Here is a 20,048-nt window from a genome sequence, read left to right as displayed (position 1 = left end):
GCTGGGAGCTGTAGACCGGAGCTGTTCCTATTTGGCCATCTTGGCTCCCTCCTTTCTCTTTCCTTTCTGTCTTGTAAGAGTAGAAAGCTCTTTCTCAGAAAAGGTCTAGCAAGCTTTCTTGCTATCCCTAGATTCACTCTCTTCCTTCCACACTTCAACAAATGTGAAGTTATCCCAGCAAGAGTCTCAATGTTAGAGAGTGATAACTATATCTGTTTCTTCATTGTTGGGTGCCCAGCACATAGCAGTGTTTTCCAGTTAGCAAGCTTGTAAAATGAATATATGAATGAATAAATGCGTAAAACTATACCATCTTTTTTCCACAGGTCTTCCCCTTCCACCATCTCTTTCATCATCACTAAGAAAACTTGAATGATATTCTATTCCATGAGTGTATACTTAAGGATATAAGATGCTTTTTAAAATTTAAATTATAATTTTAATTTTGAGACAGTCTTTCTCTGTCACTCAGGCTGGAGTACAGTGCATGATCTCAGCTCACTGCAACCTCTGCCTCTTGGGTTCCAGTGATTCTCCTGCCTAAGCCTTGCAAGTAGCTGAGATTACAGGCACACACCACCACTCTGGGCTAAATTTTAGCAGAGACAGGGTTTCACCATGTTGACCGAGCTGGTCTTGAACTCCTGACCTCGAGTGATCTGCCTGCCTCAGCCTCCCAAAGTGCTGGGATTACAGGTGTGAGCCACCAAGAAGCTATTTTTTTTTTTTTTTTAATAGGCTCTTTTTCTCTTTGGCCTTGGAGGCTTTCAGATTTGACTCTCATATTAACCTGATTACATTTGCTTTAAATATTGAGGGTAGATAGGGAGGAATGTTAGTATCCCTAATGTGATTTTCCCTTCTCTGGGGAAGCACTGGGCCCTTAAATATTTTAGGGGACATTGATTGTAAATTCTAAGATATATTGTGTTAGCAACTTTAACGTTGTTTAAATTGATTAAAAATATTTGTGTATATCTGACTTAAGTTGATACAGTTAAAACTGTTCATGCTTTTCAAGTTACTAGTATTCAGTTGAAGAATACAGAAGCATAAATTTTAATGCATTTTCCACTTTTTTGGGTAACTTTTTGTATGTTTATTTTATTTCCTGAGTCATTTTCTGTACAAATCTTCAATCACCGTTTATTGGAACAGTTAGATAGTAAATACAGGAGGTTTTCTTCTCAAGGCAAATAGTTTCTGTTTTATTCCAAGATGTCGATCATTTTGAAAAATGTTGCAAACAATGAAAATGGAAAAATTTCCTTATTACCATAAACATCACATTAACTTGAAATATTAAAACTATCGGCTGGGTGTGGTGGCTCGTGCCTGTAATCCCAGCGCTTTGGGAGGCCCAGGCGGGGGAGCCACTTGAGTCCAGGAGTTTGAGACCGGACTGGGCAACGTGGTGAAACCCCATCTCTACAGAAAATACAAAAAAATTGCTGGTCATGGTGGTGTGTGCCTGTAGTCCTAACTACTCTGGAGGCTGAGGTGGGAGGATCACTGGAGCCTGGGAGGCAAAGTTTCAGTGAGCCGAGATGGTGCCACTGCATTCCACTTGAGTGACAGAGTTAGACCCTGTCTCAAAAAACAAAACAAAAGATAAAACTATCCATGAACTTTTTTTTTTTTACAATAACTTTTAAAACAACCCCACTAGCTTTTCTCCTCAAGTTCAGTGTCCTTTCCTACCCATGGTGACTGTCCATGGTGCTGAAATGATACTGTCTTTTTAGACATACTCACAAAATGATGGCGACATAAGACAATTTCTATTCCAAGCCCCTCATTTTCAATGAATATTATGGAGTGCCTAACCTACAGCTTGTAATGGCTGATAAGGGCAAGAATCCATGTGCTTTCCCCACTACCCCAGGCTGGCAAACTTGCCTTCAAACCTGGAAGATCCCAACTAGAGTTAAATGTGTAAAACTCTAGGGTTCAATTTGAAAAGTGAGTTACTGTATTATGAGTCTTCATAATATAGTAATGAAGTGTCACCAGCTTGTAAAAACCCTCCTTTTGAGGGCTGTAAATCCTGTTTGAATTCTTTTTTAAATTCTGAATTATTTCTGACATTTGAGTCTTTTGAAAGCCTTCTTAATATTCTGACTGACTTTGAGGTACATTTCAAATACAAACAATTACCTCATTATCTTGGAACCAGTATTTAAAGTGGTTCACTGTCAACTAATGATTTAAGAAATTTTGGGAAAGGATAAGATTTAGAAAAATAAATCTTGAGACTCCTAGGTAAAAACTTTGAGATAAAATATGAACCATCCTTCTAAATTATGCTTAGCAAAATTTCATCTGATAAAGCTTTATTTCCCTTTAGGATTATTTGAAATACTACTTAGCTTATTCTTGCAAATTAGCTTGCTAATTTTATTTTCCCCATTATTTTTGTCCTGGTTTGACTGTCTCTTGGAAACACTTGAAATCTATTTTGGTATTGCCTTTTAAAAATTAATAAGATTACTTGTATCTTATTTAGAATATGAAGAAAATTTTAGAAAAATGAAGACATAGTGTCTTCCAAATATATCTATTGGAAAAATAGCAAAAAAATCCCTTAAATTAAACCCATGTATTCACTCTACTATATAAGTATGTACTGTTTGTTCATAATTGTGGTAGGAAAAAATTAATTTATGACAGTCCTGGCTTATCCTTCTTAGTTTGTAATTTAGTTTGTTTAAACATCAACACTCATTATTTTTAAAAAGCTTTATTGGAGTATAATTGACATACAATAAATTGCTATAAAAGTGTAAAATTGCTATAAAGTGTACAACTTGACAGATTTTGACATAGGCATATACATGTGAATCTGTTACCACAATCAAGATAATGAACTTGCCCATCACTCTCAGAAGTTTTGTTGGCTCTGTTATAATCTTTCCATGGGTACCTCACTTCTACCACCAGGAAGTCACTGATTTGTCCTCTGTCACTAGGAGTTAGTTCATATTTTCCAGAATTTTATCAATGAAACCATGCATTTATAATCATTTTTGTCTGGTTTCTTCCCATCATTATTTATCATTCACCCATGTTGTAATGTATATAAATGTTCATTCTTTATTTTGCTGAGAGTATTTTATTATGTGAATGTGCCATAATTGGCTTATCCATTCACCTATTGATGAACATTGGATTATGTATAGTTTTGGCTCTTACAAATAAAGTTGCTGTGAATATTCATGTACAAATGGACATATACTTTCATTTATCTTGGGTAATACCTAAAAGTGGAATGGCCAGCTCATGTGGTAGGTATATGTTTGCTATTTAAGAAACCATCAAATTGTTTTTCAAAGTGGTAGGTTCATTATATATTCCCATTAGCAGTGTATGAGCATTCCAGTTCCTTCACATCCTCACTAGCACTTGGGATGGTCAGATTTTAAAATTTTAGCCATTCTAATAGGTGTGGAGAGATATCTCATTGTGACTTTAATTTGTATTCCCCTAAGGACTAATGATGTTGAGCATCCTGTCATGAGCTTGTTTGTCATCCACCATTTCTTTGGTGAAGTGCCTATTCAAATCATTTGCCAAATTCTTTCCCTGATTATTATTTAGAGAGTTAAAAACATATGGCCGGGCACGGTGGCTCACACCTGTAATCCCAGCACTTTGGGAGGTTGAGGCATGCAGATCATGAGGTAAAGAGATCGAGACCATCCTGGCCAACATGGTGAAACCCTGTCTCTACTAAAAATACAAAAAAATTAGCTGGGTCTGGTGGTGCGTGCCTGTAGTCCCAGCTACTCAGGAGGCTGAGGCAGAGGGATTGCTTGAACCTGGGAGGCGAAGGTTTCGGTGAGCTGAGATCGCACCACTGCACTCCAGCCTGGCGACAGAGCGAGACTCTGTCTCAAAACAAAACAAAACAAAAACCTGAATACAAATACCTTATCACATAAAGGATTTGCAAGTATTTTTTCCCCAGTCTGTGGTTTTTCTTAATGCATTCTCTTAACTGAGTCTAGAAGTTCTAAGTTTTGATTGGTTAAATTTATCATTTTTTCTTTTATGGAACATGTGTTTTATGTGATATCTAAGAAATTATTATTTAACCCAAGGTCTCAAAGATTTTCTCATGTATTTTCTTGTAAAAATGTCTCAGTTTTACATTTTACATTTAGGTCAATGATCCATTTTGAGTGAATCATTACATGTTATTTGAGGTATGAACCAGACGACGATCACTACTACTACTTCTCCTCCTTCAACTCCTCCTCCTCCTTTTTGTTCTTCCTCCTCCTCTTAATTTGTCTCCTTCCTTCTTCTCCCTCCTCCTTCTCCTTTTCTTCCTTCTTTTCTTCCTTTTTCTTCTCTTCCTTCATTTCCTCCTTCTCATTCTTCTTCTGTCTTCTTTCTCTTCTTTCTCCTCCTCCTTCCCTTTCTTCTTCTGTCTTCTTTCTCCTCCTTCTCCTCCTCCTCCTTCTTCCTTCTTGCTTCTTTATATGTATTGCAATCCAATTACAGCACCATTTGTTGAAAAGATGATCCTTTGCCCACTAAATTATCTTTGTATCTCTCTAAAAAATCAGTTGTCTGTGGAACTTTCTGTACTTTCTACTCAGTTTTACTGTAAACTTAAAATTGCTCTAAATAATAAAAGTTGATTTTTTAAATAAGAATTAAGGCTGCACATGGTGGCTCACGCCTGTAATCCCAGCACTTTGGGAGGCCGAGGTGGGCAGATCACGAGGTCAGGAGTTCGAGACCAGCCTGGCCAACATAGTGAAGCCCCATCTCTACTGATAATACAAAAATTAGCCGGGCATGGTGGCACACACCTGTAGTCCCAGCCACTTGAGAGACTGAGGCAGGAGAATCGCCTGAACCCAGAAGGCGGAGGTTGTGGTGAGCCGAGATCATGCCACTGCACTCCAGTCTGGGCAACAGAGCAAGACTCCATCTCAAAAAAAAAAAAAAAAAAAAGCAGCAAAAGTACATTCATGTGCAAATCAGTACCTTGTTCAATTTTTTTTGGAGAGAGTCTCTGCAGATCTTTGGAGTCTTCTCTCTATGAAAGTTTATCCTCTTTGGAACTCTATTGTGCAAACTGTAGCTGCCTTGGTCTCCCCAGCCTCAGCTCTGTCTTCTCAGCTCAGTGAGTTGGCTGGGCTGCACTGGATTCCTTTTCCCTGGGCCAGTGTCCAGAAACTCTCAAGGCAGTAAACTGGCACAATGATAGGTCTCCCCTTACTCATTTGTAGTCTCTCAAGGATCATCACCTGCTCTCCACTGTCTTGAAAATCATTGTTTCATATATTTTGTTGTTTTGTTGTTTCAAGCATGAAAATACATTTGGCCCCTGTTATTCCAAACACTGTTATTATAATTGAGGAGTAATTATATGCTAAGTCATGTGTTAGATATGGTAAGCGTAGCTGTTGGAATTAAGTAGAAGTAATTTCCGGAATGATAGGAGAAAGATACATGAAAGAAGGGAATGAACTGAGATTTGAAAGTTAAATAGAATCTGGATACATATAGCAGAGGTATCATATCTCTGCAGTGATAAATAGTCCCCCTCCTGCCACAAAAGAACTATGGAGACATGAATGAAGAAGACCTTTGTTATCAACTATCTTAAGGGACCAGTCTACATATTTACTTCAAGGAATTTTGTTTGTTTAACCATGTCTTTCAGATAGAAACTATTAAGAGAGTCAGTGAAATGTAAAGTTTAGCCATTTGGGATATATTGTTTGTTAATACCAGGTTTAGTTTTCAGTATCATGTTGTTTTACTATGTGAGTTTTTATTGAAAATAATAAATGAATGAGTTTTGGAAACAGATCCAGATTTGAATCTGGCTCTGACGTTTATTAGATGTGTTGCCTTAGAATAGTTACTTCTTTTAGTTTCAGTTTCCTCATCTTTAAAATGGGGATAATGATGGTATGAGGATTAAATGAGATCATTCATATGAAGTAATGAACAGAGCCTGATACAGATTGAACTCTCAATTAGTGTTAGTTGCCATTTATCTTAGTCTGTTTGTGCTGCAATAACAGAATACCACAGACTAATTTATAATGAATAGAAATTTATTTTTTCACAGTTCTGGAGGATGGGAAGTCCAAGATCAAGACACTGGTGTTTGGTGAGGGCCTTCTTGCTGCATTATCACATGGCAAAAGGTGGAAGGATGTAGAGACAAAAAGGGGGCCAAATTTGTTTTTGCCTTTTTATAATGGCATTAATCTTACCCATGAGAGCAGAGCCTTCCTGGCCCTATCACTTCCCAAAGGTCCCATTTCCTAACATTACCACAATGGCAGCCAAATTTTAACATGAGTTTTGAAGGACAAACATTCAGACCATAGCACCATTATATGTTATACTGTAAAGGTAGAAAGTCAGTTGCATTAAATATCTTGTAGTAGTCCTGGTGTGATTCCATCCTGCGTGGCTGTTCTCTGGAGCAGTAGTTGATATTTATCTCCATCTGGCTTCTCTCCCACCTGAGTATATGCTACCACCAAGTGAAGACTGATGGACATGACCATGAGCCCCCTGAGGCCCTAGAACTATCATTTTTTGTCATGAGCTAAAGGCCCACAAAGATTAGTATGTTAAAGTGGGTAATGATGAAAATGAGCACCAGTTATCTTTAAGAATAGTCAGTTTAGAATACCAGAAATTATTGTTCCTAACTGTAACTTTGTACCCTTTGACCAATCTCTCCCTATCCCCCCATGCTCTCCCCTCCCCAGCCTCTGGTAACCATTATACTACTTTCTATTTTTTTTTCATGAATAATCAGATTACTTTTTTATTGTTCATTTTAAAAATTTTTATTATTTTTTACTTTAAGTTCTAGGATACATGTGCAGAAGGTGGAGGTTAGTTACATAGACTATAGCTAACAGTAATGTATTGTGTATTTCAAAGTAGCTAGAAGAAAGGATTTTAATGTTATCACCACAAAGAAACAATAAATGTTTAAAGTAGAAGATACACTAATTACTTTGGTTTGATCATTATACAATGTACCATGCATTGAAACATCACACTGTATCCTATAAATATGTACAATTATTATGTGAAAATTCCAAATAAAATAAAACTTTAAAAACTGGATATTTCACATATTCACAAATTTGTAAATTAATATCAAATTTAATCCAATAAACAAATATTTGGATTCAAAAAAAAAAAGAATAGTCAGTTGAGGGACTGGTGCAAAGGATGAATTGTACATTGTTGAAGCAGAGGCAACAAATGATGAAGGCAGGTTAATTAAAATAACACAGCCAACTTTGAAAATATCTTCACAGCCAATGGGTTCCTTAAGGGCTTTAAAAAATTTTTATTTTAAGTTCCGGGGTACATGTGCAGGACGTGTAGTTTTGTTACACAGGGAAATGTGTGCCATGGCGATTTGCTGTACCTATATACCCATCACCTCAGTTTTGAGCCCAATATGCCTTAGCTATTTTTCCTGATGCTGTCCCTCCCCCTGCCACCTCCACCCCCAACAGGCCCCAGTGTGTGTTGTTCCCCTCCCTGTGTCCATGTGTTATCATTGCTCAGCTCCCACTTATGAGTGAGAACATGTAGTGTTTGGTTTTCTGTTCCTACGTTAGTTTGCTGAGAATGATGGCTCCAGCTTGATCCATGTCCCTCCAAAGGACATGATCTCATTCCTTTCTATGGCTGCATAGTATTCCATGGTGTATATTTACCACATTTTCTTTCTCCAGTCTATCATTCGTGGACATTTGGGTTGATTCCATGTCTTTGCTATTGTGAATAATGTTGCAGTGAACATACACATGCATGCATCTTTATAATAGAATGATTTATATTCCTTTGGGTATATACCCAGTAATGGGATTGCTGGATCAAATGGTATTTCTGGATCTAGGTCTTTGAGGAATTGTCACACTGTCTTCCACAATGGTTGAACTAATTTACATTCCCACCAACAATGTAAAAGCATTCCTATCTTTCAGCAGCCTTGCCAGCATCTGTCGTTTCTTGACTTTTTAATAATCACCATTCTCACTGGTGTGAGATGGTATCTCATTGTGTTTTTGATTTGCATTTCTCTAATGATCAGTGATGTTGAGCTTTTTTTCTTATGTTTGTTGGCTGCATAAATGTCTTCTTTTGAGAAGTGTCTGATCATGTCCTTTGCCCACTTTTTAAACGTTTTTTTTTCTCTTGTAAATTTGTTTAAGTTTCTTATGGACTCTGGATATTATATCTTTGTCAGATGGATAGGTTGCAAAAATTTTCTCTCATTCTGTAGGTTGTCTGTTTACTCTGATGATAGTTTCTTTTTCTGTGCAAAAGCTCTTTAGTTTAATTAGATCCTTTTTGTCAATTTTTGCTTTTGTCTCTTGAGGACTTTAAAATAACACTTGTGGTCTTCTGGTTGAAGTGTAGTTCAGGGCCAGTGCATATTAGTGGACAGCGCTTAGTAACTATGGAGGAAGATGCAGAGTCAGAAGATGAAGAGGAGAAGGATATGCAACTTTTAAGTATATCTAGAAGGCAGTCCACCTGTGGAGGTGATAAAAGGTTCCACAGAGAAAAGTAGAACTTGCTGCTGATGAAGATGATGATAATGATTTTGATAATGAGGAAACTGAAGAAAAAGCTCTAGTGAATAAATCTGTATGAGATACTTCTGCCAAAAATCAAACCAGAATAGAAAAAGACTAAAAATCATTAACAAGAAGATCTAAAGGTGAAGAATTATTCAAAAAAAACAGGAAAAAAACCCTGAAAACACCAAAAGGACCTAGTTCTGTAGAAGATATCAAAGCCAAAATGCAGGCAAGTATAGGAAAAGGTGGTTCTCTTCCCAAAGTGGGAGCCCAGTTCATCAGTTATGTAAATAATTGCTTCTGGATGAATAAACAGGAGGCTATTCAAGATCTCTGGCAGTGGAGAAAGTCTCCTTAAGAAATTAGTTTAAACAATTTGTTAAAAATTTCCCATCTTATTTCATTTCTATAACAGTTGATATCTAGATGTCTGTTTGATAACACAGAGTGAGAACTTTCCCTACCATGTTTGATAAATGTCCAGGTTCCACTGCTAAGAATGTGTTTTCCAAAATGCCTATTTGGTTTTTAAAGATGGATCTCCACCCTCTGCTTGGTTTTAAATATGTATGAAATGTGTGCTAGGATATAGTAGTTGCAGTGGCCAGACATGGAAATGGCAGGGAGACAAAAATGTACATGTGAAATAAACTCAATGTTTTAATAAAGTAAAAAAAATTGTAATATTCAGCCTTCTGACATCAAACTATTTGTTTTTCTCATAGAATCTTATAACTGAAAAAACTATATTTGAGTATAATATTCTTCTATTCATTTATTTCTTTTTTTTTTTTTATTATACTCTAAGTTTTAGGGTACATGTGCACATTGTGCAGGTTAGTTACATATGTATACATGTGCCATGCTGGTGCGCTGCACCCACTAATGTGTCATCTAGCATTAGGTATATCTCCCAATGCTATCCCTCCCCCCTCCCCCGACCCCACCACAGTCCCCAGAGTGTGATATTCCCCTTCCTGTGTCCATGTGATCTCATTGTTCAATTCCCACCTATGAGTGAGAATATGCGGTGTTTGGTTTTTTGTTCTTGCGATAGTTTACTGAGAATGATGGTTTCCAATTTCATCCATGTCCCTACAAAGGATATGAACTCATCATTTTTTATGGCTGCATAGTATTCCATGGTGTATATGTGCCACATTTTCTTAATCCAGTCTATCATTGTTGGACATTTGGGTTGGTTCCAAGTCTTTGCTATTGTGAATAGTGCCGCAATAAACATACGTGTGCATGTGTCTTTATAGCAGCATGATTTATACTCATTTGGGTATATACCCAGTAATGGGATGGCTGGGTCAAATGGTATTTCTAGTTCTAGATCCCTGAGGAATCGCCACACTGACTTCCACAATGGTTGAACTAGTTTACAGTCCCACCAACAGTGTAAAAGTGTTCCTATTTCTCCGCATCCTCTCCAGCACCTGTTGTTTCCTGACTTTTTAATAATTGCCATTCTAACTGGTGTGAGATGATATCTCATAGTGGTTTTGATTTGCATTTCTCTGATGGCCAGTGATGATGAGCATTTCTTCGTGTTTTTTGGCTGCATAAATGTCTTCTTTTGAGAAGTGTCTGTTCATGTCCTTCGCCCACTTTTTGATGGGGTTGTTTGTTTTTTTCTTGTAAATTTGTTTGAGTTCATTGTAGATTCTGGATATTAGCCCTTTGTCAGATGAGTAGGTTGGGAAAATTTTCTCCCATTTTGTAGGTTGCCTGTTCACTCTGATGGTAGTTTCTTTTGCTGTGCAGAAGCTCTTTAGTTTAATTAGATCCCATTTGTCAATTTTGTCTTTTGTTGCCATTGCTTTTGGTGTTTTGGACATGAAGTCCTTGCCCACGCCTATGTCCTGAATGGTAATGCCTAGGTTTTCTTCTAGGGTTTTTATGGTTTTAGGTTTAACGTTTAAATCTTTAATCCATCTTGAATTGATTTTTGTATAAGGTGTAGGGAAGGGATCCAGTTTCAGCTTTCTACATATGGCTAGCCAGTTTTCCCAGCACCATTTATTAAATAGGGAATCCTTTCCCCATTTCTTGTTTTTCTCAGGTTTGTCAAAGATCAGATAGTTGTAGATATGCGGCATTATTTCTGAGGGCTCTGTTCTGTTCCATTGATCTATATCTCTGTTTTGGTACCAGTACCATGCTGTTTTGGTTACTGTAGCCTTGTAGTATAGTTGGAAGTCAGGTAGTGTGATGCCTCCAGCTTTGTTCTTTTGGCTTAGGATTGACTTGGCGATGCGGGCTCTTTTTTGGTTCCATATGAACTTTAAAGTAGTTTTTTCCAATTCTGTGAAGAAAGTCATTGGTAGCTTGATGGGGATGGCATTGAATCTGTAAATTACCTTGGGCAGTATGGCCATTTTCACGATATTGATTCTTCCTACCCATGAGCATGGAATGTTCTTCCATTTGTTTGTGTCCTCTTTTATTTCCTTGAGCAGTGGTTTGTAGTTCTCCTTGAAGAGGTCCTTCACATCCCTTGTAAGTTGGATTCCTAGGTATTTTATTCTCTTTGAAGCAATTGTGAATGGGAGTTCACCCACGATTTGGCTCTCTGTTTGTCTGTTGTTGGTGTATAAGAATGCTTGTGATTTTTGTACATGGATTTTGTATCCTGAGACTTTGCTGAAGTTGCTTATCAGCTTAAGGAGATTTTGGGCTGAGACGATGGGGTTTTCTAGATAAACAATCATGTCGTCTGCAAACAGGGACAATTTGACTTCCTCTTTTCCTAATTGAATACCCTTTATTTCCTTCTCCTGCCTGATTGCCCTGGCCAGAACTTCCAACACTATGTTGAATAGGAGCGGTGAGAGAGGGCATCCCTGTCTTGTGCCATCATTTATTTCTTAAGCTTTATTTTATTTAGTACTCTCAGTCTTTGCCCGTATGGTAACAAACATCTTAATAAAAATGGAAAAAGCATTAGCTTTGGATAACTGTGTTCATCTTAATGGTCATGCTGAATTGACTAGACAACTTTGACTAAATTAACTGTATTTATTTGGACTTCCATTTGCAATTTTTAATCTGAGTCTTCTCTCTCAATCTCTATTTTATCCCTGTTACTCCCGTCCTGGTCAAGTTGGCATCCACACCCAGCAGTTTCTCCATGGGTTTTGTCCTGGAAGGAAGCTTTTGTTCCTCAATTTTGAGATTTTATAAGAGCCACGCTCCTCCAGCCCCTTCAGCCCTCCCTTACTGAGAACGTTTTGCACTACAAATTGGAATGTGCAGAGTTCTTTCGAGTCTCAGCCACTGTCCTCACATTGGCCTGCTGTGCTTCCCAGGGACCACTGGTTGATAGTTTTTGAGTTTTCCTGTTCTCAGATCCCTCAGATATTCTGCTTCTTTCTCTTATCTCTTACATGGTAGCTGATACCCTATAGGTCTTGTGGTTGGCTGGTCATTTAATCCCCATCTGTTCATATTTTCAGGTTGCTGGGGAAATCTTAGCACCTCATTGTTACCATGGTGTAAATATTGGCCATGAGTTTTTGGTTTTGATATTCTGCTTGCTCTGTCTGTTTTTATGTAGTGGGGGTGGTGGATTGGGGAGATTTAAAAACTATATTGTGGTTGCCATCATCTTCCCAGAATTCCTCCCTGATCAGTCCCTTTTCCACATTTATCTCTATTTGAGATATTGCCAACAGTTTTCTGGAAGCGCTGACCCACAGGTTAATTAAATGGAAACTAGATTGTGATAAAAGAAACTAGCCTCACTGGAGGTGGCTTGCTGGTACAATTCTTTTAACGTGGGCATTTAATTTTCCTGGATGTGTCTGTCTGGCACTTTGGATACATTACTTCCTTATTACTCAATTTGCAAATATGGTGACAGTGTATATATCATTTTTATGCATTTCAGATATGCTGTGAGTCAATTTCTGTTCTCCTGCTCTATAAACATGAGAATTACTTTAAAAAATGGATTTAGCACCATTACCTTAAGATTCAGGTATTGGTTCTAATTCTCCATCATGGGAATTGTAAAGGGGTTTTACTTTTTGCCATGTTGAGTACTTTTTTAAGTGTTCCTGTGTGAGAGGGTTGCTTTCTTTTCTTTCCCTGACCTCATGTCTTTCTTGGTCTTAAAAACCGTTCAGGCCTGTAGTCCCAGCTAATCGGGAGGCTGAGGCAGGAGAATGGCGTGAACCCGGGAGGCGGAGCTTGCAGTGAGCCAAGATCGCGCCACTGTACTCCAGCCTGGGCAACAGAGTGAGACTCCGTCTCAAAAAACAAAACAAAACAAAACAAAAACAAAACAAAGAAACAAAACAAAAAACCATTCAGGTTGGGAATAAAGGAGGTGAAAGCCTTCTTAGGGTTTTCACTGGCTTCAAACCTAGTGTCAATTAAACAAGTGTAATTTCTTTTGGAACTTTGCCTCTTTTTTGAGGAAATTAATCATTGCAGAAATATTCATTTGGTCATTTGAAACCTTATGAATTTTTGTTTGAGTTTAAAATTGATTAGAAGTGATGCTGGTAGTACTCTGTGGTGAGTGAGAAAGGAAGGAAGCAGAATTCATTATCCCCCCAAATCTATCACACTGCAAGGGCATTTTCTGAAAAATCATTATTGTGAGCATGTTGTTAGACTCTACTATGAAAGGTGAGTGGATTAGAAATTTTACCTAATTCACAGGAGAGGAAAATAGGAATCTGAGAAATTTCTAAAAGACCTAGAAGATATAATTAATTCTCAAACTTCTTCCTTGTGTTCTGTGCTCAGCTATAGAAATGTCTGATTTTTCAACAGCAATAATCATTGATTACCTACACTTTCTCTTACAATAACAATTTTTACCTAATTTTCAGAGAGATGCAGAAAGCCCTAATTTTGGGAACTGTAGTAATTGCTACTGATTACACACATTTTTTGGGGGGTGCATAAATGGACTTTGATGTACTTGGAGTTGGGTGATTTACAATAGGAGAGGTTTTCTCCGTATTTTACCTCACTTCTTGTCCCAGCACAGCCCATCTTCTCCTCTCTGGAGTCTTGCTGTGTGTGGTACCCAGTTCATGACTACTTAATGCCCAGTTCTTCACCCTTGCCAGGCTATTTTCCACCATCTGAAAAGCCTCCCACGTCAACTATATTAGTAAGAGTTAATCTGTCTATTCTTATCTTGATCAAAACTCAATTCCTGCAGGAAATCTTCTATAAATGTTATTCCCTCTGAGTGTGCCATTGGGGCACCATCCCTCTGGCATGTGTATATTCAGTTTGAATAATAATGCTTCTCACTGCATTTAATGTAGCTTTCAGTGCAAGCCGAGATCTTAATAAATAATTCTTAACTAACTAACCTATCACCTTTCCTTGTAGGAAAACCAGTAAGTAGGTTAACCTCATGTATCAAAAGTTTTTATTCAGGTTTTGAGTGTTTTAGCATAAAACAAATGTTCTATGACAACTAGAGGAGGATGAGTTTAGGTGAATTAAGTTCTATAGTGCAACTTGGTTATTTGTATATCAGCACTTTAATATAACATGTAGTAATAACTGTATGAATGTTTTTTTGAATTATAAAAGGAACAATTATATATAACTGCATACCAGGCACTTTGCCAAGGAATCTGGATCATCCTGTTTAGGAAGTATGTGCTATTATTGTACTTACTTTACAAATGGTGACCTTGATATTTAAAGAAGCTGGGTAACTTGTGGGAGATTACTCAGGCAATAAATGGCAGACCTGTGGTTTCTTTACAGGCAGTCTGAATCTAGAGCTTACATTAACTACTTCATTCAGTCCTAATTCCAAGAATAAGAACACCATGATAAATTATCTTTTTTTCCTGTCCATTTTACCGTACCTAGGCAGATTTCAATAGCCCAGAGCAATGCTTCACAAAAACTTTTTCATGATAACCAGCATCAGAATCATTATATTGTATAACTGATTCATTGACTAAACATTGGCCTGTGGGATATAATCTAAGGGCAGCTTTGTTTTTTTCTCTCACTATCCTAGCTTTGTTTGGAGGTCCAGTCCACACTGACTCTTGCTTTAGAAAGTTCTCTGCAGCAGAATCTAAAACAATTTGAGGTCTGCTCGCTGTCCTATATGACCTGCCTTGTTTAGAGGAAACACGCATATATCCATTACCACCATAAATTCTGGGAGCAAAGACTAAACTAAGCTGGTGGCGATGAGTTCAGCCTGTGCTCCCAGAATGTATGGGGGTAAGGGATATATGCAAGTTTTCATATGTATATGTCCTCAGGCATGTTCACTTTTTCAGCAGTAAGTTGAGCCTGCTGTCTTTCAATAGCCAGGAACACATTTCAGGCTCTGTGAATGATCTCATGGGAGTCCCCTGTCTTTGCACACTCTGACCCTTTTTTATATCCTTGTTTAGATGAGGCATCCAATGCGATGGAACTAGTTTGAATAATTTCTTTTGTGGATTCTGCACATGGGAGGAGTGAGTGAGTGAGGGGTGTGACTCCCACTCACTCTGGTATCTGTCATATTGGTGCCAGTGCAGGACATTTCATTTTGTCCCTCCAGACTCTCTCTCAAGTAAGTCCTCTCTGTCTTCTTGTGCAGCCCAAGAGGCTGAGCCATATAGACCGTATCAATGTGCTCCTACGGGAGCACATTCCTGTTGACATTTGTCAATTGAGAGTATCAGAAGAAGCAAGAAGGGAGAAGAGTAAGGTGGGGGTATTGTTTCCCTGGGTTCCCTCTCTGGGTTTCCTTGGGCTGCCTGCTTCCCTCGACGAACACCACAGCTTTTGTCAAGCAGTTCTCTCCACCCACTGCCTGTACTCTCTGATTCTGGTAACTAGTCTCTTTCCTTGCCCTTTCAGGTCTAGGGAAGTTAATAGGTGCCTTGTTTCTAGTTTTGGGGTGCTGCATTACCCCTTGTGGTTTCCCTATACCCTACTTACACCTTTTGTGAATTCTGCCTTTATGAAACATCCCTCAGTTATCTCCTTCAGTGTGACATCTCTTTCCTGGTGGGATCTTATTTGATATGACACCTCAGTTGACACTGACATAGAGATGCTGCCCTTTTAGCATCCTGTTACACATGTTAAAAATATAGATTCCTTAGATCCCCATCAGACCTACCGAATCACAATCTCTGGTGGTAGCATTTGGGATCCTGCATTTTAAATAAGCATCTCAGATGATTCTAATGCTCACTGGAGATTCAGATTTAATAGAAGCTGTATTAATCTGTCCTTGCACTGCTGTAAAGAAATACCCGAGACTAGGTAATTCATAAAGAAAAGAGGTTTAGTTGGCTCATGGTTCCACAGGCTGCACAGGAAGCATGACTGGGGAGGCCTCAGGAAACTTTCAAGTATGGCAGAAGGTGCCACGTAAGAAGGTGCCATCTTACATGGCTGGATCAGGAGGAAGAGAGCGAAGTGGGAGGTGCTACACACCTTTGAACAACCAGGTCTCATGAGAACTCACTGTCATGAGAAAAGCAAGGGGAAAATCCAGCCCCATGACCCAGTTACCTCTCATCAGGCCTCTCCTACTACATTGAGGATGCCAATTTGACATGAGATTTGGGTGTGGACACAAATCCAAACCATATCATTCCACCCCTGTCCCTCCCAAATCTTATGTCCTCCCACATTGCAAAGTACAATCATTGGCTGGGTGGAGTGGCTTATGCCTGTAATCATAGCACTTTGGGAGGCTGAGGCAGGTGGATCACTTGGGGTCAGGAGTTTGAGACCAGCCTGGCCAACATGGTAAAACCCCATCTCTACTAAAAACATACAAAAATTAGCCAGGTGTGGTGGCGTGTGCCTGTAGTCCCAGCTACTTGGGAGGCTGAGACAGAAGAATTGCTTGAACCCAGGAGGCAGGAGTTGCAGTGAGCGAAGATCACCCCACTGCACTCCAGCCTGGATGACAGAGTGAGAGTCTGTCTCAAGAAAAAAAAATAATCCGTTCTCAACAGTCCCCCAAATATTAACTCATTTCAACACTATACTAACTCAAAAGTCCACAGTCCAAAGTCTCATCTGAGAGAAAGCAAGTCCCTTCTGCTTATAAGCCTGTAAAATAAAAAAAACAAGTTACTTTCAAGATACAGTGGGGGTACAGGCATTGGGTAAGTACACCCATTCCAAAAGGAGAAATCAGTCAAAAAAGAGGGACTATAGGCCCTGTGCAAGTCCGAAACCCAGCAGGGCAGTCATTAAATCTTAAAGCTCCCAAATAATCTCCTTTGACTCCATGTCTCATATGCAGGCCACACTAATGCAAGGGGTGGGCTCCCAAAGCCTTGTGCAGTTCCACTGCTGTGGCTCTGCAGGGCTCAGCTCCCATGGCTGCACTCATGGCTAGCATTGAGTGCCTGTGGCCTTTCCAGGTGCATGGTGCAAGCTGTCAGTGGATCTACCATTCTGGGGTCTGAAGGATAGTAGCCCTTTTCTCATAGTAGCTCTCTCATGGTAGCTGTGAGAAGAGGACTACCATGTGTGGTAGATCTGTGTGGGGCTCCAACCCCACATTTCCCCTCTATACTGCCCTAGTAGAGGTTCTCCATGAGGGCTCTGCCCCTGCAGCACACTTCTGCCTGGACATCCAGGTGTTTTCATACAACCTCTGAAAGCTAGACAGAGACTCCCAAATGTCAACTCTTACCCTCTGTGTACCTGCAGGCTTAACACAGTGTGGAGGTACCAAGATTTAGGGCTTGCACTCTCTGGAGCAGCAGCCTGAGACATATCTGGGGCCCTTTTATCCATTGCTGGAGCTGGAGTGACTTGGACACAGGGAGCAGTATCCTGAGGTTGTGCAGGGCAGTGGGGCCCTGGGCCTGGGCCATGAAACCACTCTTCCCTCCAAGACCTCTGGGCCTATGATGGGAAGGGCTGCCAGGAAGGTCTCTGAAATGCCTTGGAGGCGTTTTTCCCATTTTCTTGGCTATTAACATTTGGCTACTCTTTACTTATGCAAATTTCTACAGCAGGCTTGAATTCCTCCCTAGAAAATGGGTTTTTGTTTTCTACCACATGGTTAAGTTGCAAAGTTTTCAAACTTTTGTGTTCTACTTCCATTTAAAATAGAACGTCCAGTTTCAAAACATCGCTTTGCTCATGCATACACTGTTAGAATCAGCCAGGCTACATCTTGAATGCTTTGCTGCTTAGAAATTTCTTCTGCCAAATACCCTAAATCATTGTTCTCAAGTTCAAAGTTCCACAGATCTCTAGAGCAGAGGCACAGTGCTGCTAGTGTCTTTGCTAAAGCATAGCAAGAGTGACCTTTACTTCAATTCTCAATAAGTTTTGCATTTCCATCTGATATTACCTCAGACTGGACTTTATTGTCCATATCACTATCAGCATTTTGGTCACAACAATTAAACATGTCTTTAGGAAGATCCAAACTTTCCCTTATCTTCCTGTCTTCTTCTGAGCCTTCCACACTCTTCCATCCTCTGCCCATTATACAGTTCCAAAGTAACTTCCACATTTTCAGGTATCTTTATAGCAATGCCCTACTCCTAGGTACAAATTTTCTGTATTAGTTTGTTCTTACATTGCTGTAAACAACTACCCGAGACTGGGTAATTTATAAAGAAAAGAAGTTTAATTGGCTCATGGTTCCACAGGCTGCACAGGAAACATGGCTATGGAGGCTTCAGGAAACTGTCAATCATGGCAGAAGGTAAAGGGGAAGCAGACACATCTTACATAGCTGGAGCAGGAGGAAGAGAGCGAAGGGGAGGTATACACTTTTAAACAACCAGATCTCATGAGGACTTATTATCATGAGAACAGCAAGGGGGAAATCTGCCCCCATGATCCAGTCACCTCCAAACAGGCCTCTCCTACAACATTGGGGATGACAATTTGACATGAGATTTGGGTGGGGACACAAATCCAAACCATATCAGAAGCTTAACACCAGGAAGTAGAAATCCTGGTGTTTTGAGTGAGACCCAACAGGCAGGAGTTTAACCAGGGTACACCAGCCTAGAAGGCTTAATGAGTTCAAATTGGCAAAGTGCTTTAAGATTCAATAATAGAAAAAACAATATGTTCATACCACCCTTGTAGCATTTGTGTTTTCTTATATTTTCTTCAAAAGTTGACTTAATTCTTTTGAGCAAATTGATTATTTTTCCACCATTGTATAGCTCCTATGGGTGGTTTTAAAAAACATTTTTCTTGAGATTATAGACATGGCTTACCAGTATCAGTTCAAGTTATTGTGGCCTAATACATATATCTAATATCATTGTTGTTAATACTTCAATTACATAAATAGTTTTTGAAATAACTCTTATTGCTAAATGTTTTCTAGAACATTTTTTTAAAAGGAGAGTTTTGGAATTACCTTTAATAATGGTATGGCAGGCATAATAATTTCCCCTGCTGCAAATGTCCATGTCCTAATACCTGGAACCTGTGAATATGTTAGATCACATGGCAAAGGGAAATTAGAATTTCAGATGAAGTTAAGATTGCTAATCAGATGACCTTGAGATATTAAGATTATCCTGAATCACCCACTGGTCCCAATGTAATCACAAGGGTCTTTACAGTGGAAAAGGGAAGCAGACGTCAGTGTGAGGTGATATGAAAAGGAGTAGACCTATTTTGGCTTTGAAAATGGAAGGGGCTACAAAACAAGGAATAAAGGCTGCCTCTGGGAGAGGGAGAGTCTTAAAAAGGCAAGAAAACAGATTCTCCCCTAGAGCCTCCAGAAAGGAACACAGCCCTGATGATTCCATGATTTTAGCTTAGTGAGACCCATGTTGGACTTCTAACCTACAGAAATGTAAGATAATTTGTTTTAAGCCACTAAAGTTATTGGTAATTTATTAGTAATTGGTAATTTGTTACAGCTGCAGTAGAAGACTGACATAAAGACTTACAACAAATGGGTGGGAGGTGGTTTCAAATAATAAATCAATACTTTAACTGGAGTCATTTACCCTTCAAGCCTCTGAGTATGTAATGGCTATAATTGTCATATTCGAATATTTGAAAATTTAATTCATTCCTTTGGAGACTTAGTGAGTGATATCATGACTTTTTGATATTTTAATTATGAGGTTGGTATGGGAGCAAATTATGCACAGGGAGTGACAACTAGGAACCCGTGGTGCACTACTGGACCCATTCTAAGCCAGGGCTTGACTGATGCTGCCTAGAATGTCACTGACTTTCATTCTGAAGGAGATCAGCCCCCTAAGAGATGATATCTCCATAGAGATCCTGTTCTTTTGTGTCTCTGGGAGCCTGTCAGCTCATTCCCGTGTAGGTAAAGAGGCTGGTTAAGGAGCAGGAACATTTCTGCCCAGGAGGGTGGTTCATGCTCCTGAAGTGGGATCTGAACAGCAGCCCAGGGAGGCAGCTATCTTTTGTGTCTCCCTCTTGTTTAGGGATATGGAACTCTTAAGAGTTCCCACTCTTTACTGTATTGCTTAATGG

General features: G+C 39.2%; 1 pseudogene, besides 1 other annotated feature; it reads left to right on the top strand.

The window, feature by feature from the left end:
• Positions 1,641 to 1,841: a silencer, noted in NCBI's record as "peak5067 fragment used in MPRA reporter construct". NCBI's record gives its function as "represses an SCP1 promoter by STARR-seq MPRAs in K562 erythroleukemia cells {active_cell/tissue: K562}" and the evidence as "EXISTENCE:reporter gene assay evidence [ECO:0000049][PMID:32103011]".
• Positions 8,378 to 9,143, top strand: NPM1P41 (nucleophosmin 1 pseudogene 41; annotated as a pseudogene).
• Positions 9,144 to 20,048: the final 10,905 nt, after the last annotated feature.

The sequence above is a fragment of the Homo sapiens genome, chromosome 4 (genome assembly GCF_000001405.40).
Source record: "Homo sapiens chromosome 4, GRCh38.p14 Primary Assembly".
In the NCBI taxonomy this organism is placed as follows: domain Eukaryota; kingdom Metazoa; phylum Chordata; class Mammalia; order Primates; family Hominidae; genus Homo; species Homo sapiens.
Note: the sequence above shows the minus strand (reverse complement) of the source record. Positions and strands in the feature narration are given on the sequence as shown.